At 38.4% G+C, this 9335-nt stretch overlaps 1 annotated feature.

Annotated features, from left to right (window-relative positions):
* Nucleotides 584-784: a silencer, noted in NCBI's record as "peak1393 fragment used in MPRA reporter construct". NCBI's record gives its function as "represses an SCP1 promoter by STARR-seq MPRAs in K562 erythroleukemia cells {active_cell/tissue: K562}" and the evidence as "EXISTENCE:reporter gene assay evidence [ECO:0000049][PMID:32103011]".

Genomic DNA, 9335 nt, shown 5'->3' on the forward strand with positions numbered 1-9335 from the left:
GTGCTGAAATATACGGTGCTACAAAACTAATCAATATCAATAAACAGGATGTTATCTTTCTAAAAATTAGATTTTTAAATTATCTTTATGTCATATTATTTTTAAATTGTTAATTAAGCAAACACTAGATTAAATTTTACTACATATTGCATTATTTGTGGTCAGTTATTACTTTTCTAAAAATTGAGCAGCCAAATTATGATGCAAAGGAAGTGGGGAAGAGTTATAACTTTCTGAAACCATTTGTTTCACCTGTCTACTCTTTAGCCCTGTGCAATATTATATTGAGTTAATGTCTTAGAAAATAGTTATTATTTGAGCTCATGGAGATTTTGTAAAGAATCGTATCGCTTATCAAAAATCCCAAATCCCCATAACATATTTGATCACCTCAAGAGTTCCCTTAAGGTTTTATTTTTACGATCTTACTTAGCAAGCATTTAAGCAAATAACTCATCTAAGTTGTCTATAGAGTTGAATTGAATCTTCCACAAGCTTGTGTTAAAATAACATTTTGAATGATGTTCAAATAATTTTGAATTAGCTTTTGTAAAAGAAGTGTATAATTCCTATCACTTACTACTAACACTGTTATGTACCTTCCCTGCTTTAAAAACTGGGCCTTGAGTTCAAAAAGAGGAAGTACCATAATAGATGTAAGCTATAAAGTGACCCAAATCTTCTGAACTCCAAACTGCTTCCCACTGGCTTTATCTATGCTCTATTTCAGTGTCTCCCTCTGGTATAGCATTAACCAAATAACTGTTGTTAAAATGCACATTTGCAGCAAAATACATTAGTTCAAGTGAGTTATCAGTTGGGGAAAGCAGAATGTTGGCCTAGAAGAAAAGGGTTTTGAGATATGCATTTATACATTTAGTCAGCAGATAACTATTGAGTACTTACTGTATGCTAGACATTGTGTTAGGGGAATATACTGATAAACAAGCCATAGCAAGCATAGTAATCTTTATAAATTGTCTGTTTGTCTATTTCATTGTTGACAGTTTCCCCCACCCATTATCACCAGCAAACACTGCAATTGAAACTCCATTAGGACCTCATGTCTTGTTCATCACTGTAGCCCTACCTACTAGATTGATTCCTGCCATATAATACAGACTCAGTAAATATTTTTAGATTGAGTGAATGATTGAATGAATGGCACTGTCCCTGCTCTTAAAAGAGCTTGATGTTTGAGAGATGGTTGGGAGAGTTGATGGCATGAAATAGTTCATATGATGGAGTAGTTGGAAGATTTCAGAATGCTTTTACTGATGTATCAGTACTATAATTCTGAATTTTCTAGTTCTTCAGGTCAGTAGTAAAAATAGAAATATTTATTTATCTATATTTATCAATTTATATTTTAGTGGTTTCTCCACATCTGTTCATTTTATTTCATTCTTACAGCAATAAATATGCCAGAAAGATATAATGTCAGAACCTAAGAATTAGAAGGGGAAAGAGGAAGAATCTAGTACAATCTGAATGGGACCAGGCCCCTGTGGTAGTCTCTGCTCGTACATTGAGCCCACTTTGAGTTCAGATTCACCAGTGTGTTTCTCCTCCAAAAACAAACAAATCCAAATTCAAGAGAATTGGAGGCTAATATAGTGTTGGTTATTTGGAGAAAAATCAAAAAAGAAATATACATGACACAGCAAAGCTTCATCACCGTTACCATCATCACTTAATATTATACCTCTTCCTTTATGGAAAGTATTCCTTCATCCAAGATACTCATTGTCCTGACCCTGCTGTTTTTCTTACCTTACTCAGCCTCCAAAATGTACCCCTTCTATTGTGCTGGGTCATTCATTTTTTTACCCTCAATTTGCATGCCCACTAAAACAACAAAAACAACATCTGTTTACCTGAGGATCTTCTTGGAGAATATCCAAGTAATCTTGCCGCATGAGAATATATGGAGAACACACTAGGGCAATGTTCTATATATTTGTTTTCATATTTCTTACTCTAAACAGCCTTCTAAAATAATAACTATTAATATCTGTACTTTTGAGCTAAGGAAACTGATGCTCAGAGACCATAGGTAACTTAGTCAAAATGGCATAACTGGCAAATAGTGGTGGGGATTCAAAACCACATGTACCTCTCTCCAAATCCTGTGCTATTTACAGGTCGTATCTGCCTCATAATATAGTAGTAGCTACTATTTATTGAACACTTGCCTGTGCCAGGTATTGTACTACACATTTCACAAATATTGTGTAATTTCTCACTGTGAGTCAGCTATGAGTACTGTGATTATTCCCACTTTATAAATGAAAAATCTGAGGCTCAGGAAAAATAAGTCACTCGCCCAAAATCACATAACAAGAAAGTTGTAGTGGGAGAATATAATCAGGTACACCTGGCTGATTTGTCTGTTTCTTTCCACCATGTCACACTATTGAAATAAAACATATTGATGCCCCAATTCAATATTCCTCATCAATATAACAGGTCCCTTCACAGACATTAATAAAAGATGATTTTCTATTCTTTATTTAAACACATCCAGTGACAAAGTGCTCATTACTCCATGATCCAGCTCATTTCCAAACTGGATACTCTAGTAATAAGAAATTTGTTCTGAACCAAAAGGTGCCCTTCTTTAACATTGTCTTATGCAGTCTATTGTTTTGTCCTAAATAGCAACAAACCATTTTTTTCTATATAGGCTCTCGTCTATAGGATAGCTCTTCAATTATCTCATTTATTTTAAACTATTTATGATATATTTATCATATGATAGGCAGTGTGCTAGATGCTGGATATACAATTTATAAGAACACAATGACAGTCTCTTACAGCTTACTGGTTGAAATAGGCACTAATGAAATAATTATACAAATAGATATATAACTGCAAAATGTGATAAGTAACAAAGTTAAGAAAACTATACAGGATGGCGAAAGTGTATACCTTGGTCTAATTTAAGTTAAGATAGGTATTTTGGAAGGCTCCTCTGTAAAGAGGATATTTAAAGAATAAGTAGAAAATAACAAGGCAAAAATGGTTAAGGAGTAAAGGCAATGGGGATAAAAATTTAGTAAAGACGAGAGTATGCATATGTCTTTGAGGCTGGAGGGAGTATAGGGCCTTCCAAGAATGAAAGGAAGAACCGTGAGGCTGAAGCCCAAAGAATAACTGAGATGATCGATCAAGATAAGCCGGAAAGGAATACAGGCTCCAGTTCATGCATCAAGGTCCATACATGTCATGGCAGTATTTCTGATCTTCAGTAGTAACAAATACACTTAGCACACAGATCTTTGACTCTAATACCATTTTCCATAAAAGGAACCAGGGCTTCTTGGACAAAGGAGTAGGGTAGAAAATATATAAGGTAAACTTGTAGCATAATATAATTCCGAAAAGTAAAAAAGTGCTAAAACTAAAACAATATTAAGGGTGTATCAAAGAGACACAGGAGGAGCTAAATAAAAGAGCATCCAGTGACCAAAGCTGGAACAATCTGAGCAAAAACAATCAACAAAATGTCATTGGATCATAACCCAAAGCATAAAACAAATATCCATGAGTCCATACTGATGTAAATAAATGATTTGATAAATAAATACGTAAATTGGAGAGAATAAACAAATTGCCCTGTACACAATAATTTATGTCGATATTTTTTCCTCAAGGAGATGAATCATAACTCTCCAGTCTTTAAATTTGTACTGCACATAATAACTTCCTTTTAAAGAGGTCAGCATGAAAAGCAGGAAAAGAAGAAACACTTTACAGAGCAAAACCTGACAAACACTACCTCAGCCAGGTGACTAAGGTCAACATTGACAGATATAAATTATATTGATAATAGGCACCCTTCATGTGATGTGATGAGAATACTACTTTTTTTCTGTGATCTTCCTCACAAAAACCCATATTCCTAGTTTAATAATGAAAAAGAATCAGACACATCACAATAGAGGGACATTTTACAAAATACCTGACAAGTAATCTTTAAAATCATCAGGGTCATCAAAAACAAGAAAAGTCAGAGAAACTGTCACAGCCAAGAGGAGCTTAAGGAGCCATGATGAGCAAATGTAATGCAGGATTCTGATGTGGTACTAGAACAGAAAAATGATATAATGTACAAAGTAAGGGGAGGAGCCAAGATGGCCGAATAGGAACAGCTCTAGTCTACAGCTCCCAGTGTGAGCGACGCAGAAGAAGGTGATTTCTGCATTTCCATCTGAGGTTCCGGGTTCATCTCTCTAGGGAGTGCCAGACAGTGGGCGCAGGTCAGTGGGTGTGCACACCATGCGCGAGCCAAAGCAGGGCGAGGCATTGCCTCACTTGGGAAGCGCAAGGGGTCAGGGAGTTCCCTTTCCGAGTCAAAGAAAAGGGTGACAGACGGCACCTGGAAAATCGGGTCACTCCTACCCGAATACTGCGCTTTTCCGACGGGCTTAAAAAACGGCGAACCAGGAGATTATATCTCGCACCTGGCTCAGAGGGTCCTACGCCCACGGAGTCTCCTGATTGCTAGCACAGCAGTCTGAGATCAAACTGCAAGGCAGCAGCGAGGCTTGGGGAGGGGCACCCGCCATTGCCCAGGCTTGATTAGTTAAACAAAGCAGCCCGGAAGCTCGAACTGGGCGGAGCCCACCACAGCTCAAGGAGGCCTGCCTGCCTCTGTAGGCTCCACCTCTGGGGGCAGGGCACAGACAAACAAAAAGACAGCAGTAACCTCTGCAGACTTAAATGTCCCTGTCTGACAGCTTTCAAGAGAGCAGTGGTTCTCCCAGCACCCAGCTGGAGATCTGAGAACGGGCAGACTGTGTCCTCAAGTGGGTCCCTGACCCCTGACCCCTGAGCAGCCTAACTGGGAGGCACCCCCCAGCAGGGGCACACTGACACCTCACATGGCAGGGTATTCCAACAGACCTGCAGCTGAGGGTCCTGTCTGTTAGAAGGAAAACTAACAAACAGAAAGGACATCCACACCAAAAATCCATCTGTACATCACCATCATCAAAGACCAAAAGTAGATAAAACCACAAAGATGGGGAAAAAGCAGAATAGAAAAACTGGAAACTCTAAAAAGCAGAGCGCCTCTCCTCCTCCAAAGGAATGCAGTTCCTCACCAGCAATGGAACAAAGCTGGATGGAGAATGACTTTGACGAGCTGATAGAAGAAGGCTTCAGAAGATCAAATTACTCTGAGCTACGGGAGGAAATTCAAACCAAAGGCAAAGAAGTTGAAAACTTTGAAAAAAATTTAGAAGAATGTATAACTAGAATAACCAATACAGAGAAGTGCTTAAAGGAGCTGATGGAGCTGAAAACCAAGGCACGAGAACTACGTGAAGAATGCAGAAGCCTCAGGAGCCGATGCGATCAACTGGAAGAAAGGGTATCAGTGATGGAAGATGAAATGAATGAAATGAAGCGAGAAGGGAAGTTTAGAGAAAAAAGAATAAAAAGAAACGAGCAAAGCCTCCAAGAAATATGGGACTATGTGAAAAGACCAAATCTACGTCTGATTGGTGTACCTGAAAGTGATGGGGAGAATGGAACCAAGTTGGAAAACACTCTGCAGGATATTATCCAGGAGAACTTCCACAATCTAGCAAGGCAGGCCAGCATTCAGATTCAGGAAATACAGAGAATGCCACAAAGATACTCCTCGAGAAGAGCAACTCCAAGACACGTAATTGTCAGATTCACCAAAGTTGAAATGAAGAAAAAAATGTTAAGGGCAGCCAGAGAGAAAGGTCGGGTTACCCTCAAAGGGAAGCCCATGAGACTAACAGCGGATCTCTCGGCAGAAACCCTACAAGCCAGAAGAGAGTGGGGGCCAATATTCAACATTCTTAAAGAAAAGAATTTTCAACCCAGAATTTCATATCCAGCCAAACTAAGCTTCATAAGCGAAGGAGAAATATAATCCTTTACAGACAAGCAAATGCTGAGAGATTTTGTCACCACCAGGCCTGCCCTAAAAGAGCTCCTGAAGGAAGCACTAAACATGGAAAGGAACAACCGGTACCAGCTGCTGCAAAATCATGCCAAAATGTAAAGACCATCGAGACTAGGAAGAACTAACGAGCAAAATAACCAGCTAACATGATAATGACAGGATCAAATTCATACATAACAATATTAACTTTAAATGTAAATGGACTAAATGCTCCAATTAAAAGACACAGACTGGCAAATTGGATAAAAAGTCAAGACCCATCAGTGTGCTGTATTCAGGAAACCCATCTTATGTGCAGAGACACACATAGGCTCAAAATAAAAGGATGGAGGAAGATCTACCAAGCAAATGGAAAACAAAAAAAGGCAGGAGTTGCAATCCTAGTCTCTGATAAAACAGACTTTAAACCAACAAAGATCAAAAGAGACAAAGAAGGCCATTACATAATGGTAAAGGGATCAATTCAATAAGAAGAGCTAACTATCCTAAATATATATGGACCCAATACAGGAGCACCAAGATTCATAAAGCAAGTCCTGAGTGACCTACAAAGAGACTTAGACTCCCACACATTAATAATGGGAGACTTTGACACCCCACTGTCAACATTAGACAGATCAACGAGACAGAAAGTCAACAAGGATACCCAGAAATTGAACTCAGCTCTGCACCAAGTGGACCTAATAGACATCTACAGAACTCTCCACCCCAAATCAACAGAATATACATTTTTTTCAGCACCACACCACACCTATTCCAAAATTGACCACATACTTGGAAGTAAAGCTCTCCTCAGCAAATGTAAAAGAACAGAAATTATAATAAACTATCTCTCAGACCACAGTGCAATCAAACTAGAACTCAGGATTAAGAATCTCACTCAAAACCGCTCAACCACATGGAAACTGAACAACCTGCTCCCGAATGACTATTGGGTACATAACGAAATGAAGGCAGAAATAAAGATGTTCTTTGAAACCAATGAGAACAAAGACACAACATACCAGAATCTCTGGGACGCATTCAAAGTAGTGTGTAGAAGGAAATTTATAGCACTAAATGCCCACAAGAGAAAGCAGGAAAGATCCAAAATTGACACCCTAACATCACAATTAAAAGAACTAGAAAAGCAAGAGCAAACACATTCAAAAGCTAGCAGAAGGCAAGAAATAACTAAAATCAGAGCAGAACTGAAGGAAATAGAGACACAAAAAACCCTTCAAAAAATTATTGAATCCAGGAGCTTGTATTTTGAAAGGATCAACAAAATTGATAGACTGCTAGCAAGACTAATAAAGAAAAAAGGAGAGAAGAATCTAATAGATGCAATAAAAAATGATAAAGGGGATATCACCACCGAACCCACAGAAATACAAACTACCATCAGAGAATACTACAAACACCTCTTCGCAAATAAACTAGAAAATCTAGAAGAAATGGATAAATTCCTCGACACATACACTCTCCCAAGACTAAACCAAGAAGAAGTTGAATCTCTGAATAGACCAATAACAGGATCTGAAATTGTGGCAATAATCAATAGCTTACCAACCAAAAAGAGTCCAGGACCAGATGGATTCACAGCCGAATTCTACCACAGGTACAAGGAGGAACTGGTACCATTCCTTCTGAAACTATTCCAATCAATAGAAAAAGAGGGAATCCTCCCTAACTCATTTTATGAGGCCAGCATCATTCTGATACCAAAGCCAGGCAGAGACACAACCAAAAAAGAGAATTTTAGACAAATATCCTTGATGAACATTGATGCAAAAATCCTCAATAAAATACTGGCAAACCAAATCCAGCAGCACATCAAAAAGCTTATCCACCATGATCAAGTGGGCTTCATCCCTGGGATGCAAGGCTGGTTCAATATATGCAAATCAATAAATGTAATCCAGCATATAAACAGAGCCAAAGACAAAAACCACATGATTATCTCAATAGATGCAGAAAAAGCCTTTGACAAAATTCAACAACCCTTCATGCTAAAAACTCTCAATAAATTAGGTATTGATGGGAGGTATTTCAAAATAATAAGAGCTATCTATGACAAACCCACAGCCAATATCATACTGAATGGGCAAAAACTGGAAGCATTCCCTTTGAAAACTGGCACAAGACAGGGATGCCCTCTCTCACCACTCCTATTCAACATAGTGTTGGAAGTTCTGGCCAAGGCAATTAGGCAGGAGAAGGAAATAAAGGGTATTCAATTAGGAAAAGGGGAAGTCAAATTGTCCCTGTTTGCAGACGACATGATTTTATATCTAGAACACCCCATTGTCTCAGCCCAAAATCTCCTTAAGCTGATGAGCAACTTCAGCAAAGTCTCAGGATACAAAATCAATGTACAAAAATCACAAGCATTCTTATACACCAATAACAGACAAACAGAGAGCCAAATCATGAGTGAACTCCCATTCACAATTACTTCAAAGAGAATAAAATACCTAGGAATCCACCTTACAAGGGACGTGAAGTACCTCTTCAAGGAGAACTACAAACCACTGCTCAAGGAAATAAAAGAGGATACAAAGAAATGGAAGAACATTCCATGCTCATGGGTAGGAAGAATCAATATCGTGAAAATGGCCACACTGCCCAAGGTAATTTACAGATTCAATGCCATCCCCATCAAGCTACCACTGCCTTTCTTCACAGAATTGGAAAAAACTACTTTAAAGTTCACATGGAACCAAAAAAGAGCCCGCATCACCAAGTCAATCCTAAGCCAAAAGAACAAAGTTGGGGGCATCATGCTACCTGACTTCAAACTATACTACAAGGCTACAGTAACCAAAACAGCATGGTACTGGTACCAAAACAGAGATATAGATCAATGGAACAGAACAGAGCCCTCAGAAATAATGCCGCATATCTACAATGATCTGATCTTTGACAAACCTAAGAAAAACAAGAAATGGGGAAAGGATTCCCTATTTAATAAATGATTCTGGGAAAACTGGCTAGCCATATGTAGAAAGCTGAAACTGGATCCCTTCCTTACACCTGATACAAAAATTAATTCAAGATGGATTAAAGACTTGAATGTTAGACCTAAAACCATAAAAACCCTAAAATAAAACCTAGGCATTACCATTCAGGACATAGGCATGGGCAAGGACTTCATGTCTAAAACACCAAAAGCAATGGCAACAAAAGCCAAAATTGACAAATGGTATCTAATTAAACTAAAGAGCTTCTGCACAGCAAAAGAAACTACCATCAGAGTGAACAGGCAACCTACAAAATGGCAGAAAATTTTCACAACCTACTCATCTGACAAAGGGCTAATATCCAGAATCTACAATGAACTCAAACAAATTTACAAGAAAAAAACAAACAAACCCATCAAAAAGTGGGCGAAGGATATGAACAGACACTT

Source organism: Homo sapiens, chromosome 11, assembly GCF_000001405.40.
Source record: "Homo sapiens chromosome 11, GRCh38.p14 Primary Assembly".
NCBI classification, from domain to species: Eukaryota; Metazoa; Chordata; class Mammalia; order Primates; family Hominidae; genus Homo; species Homo sapiens.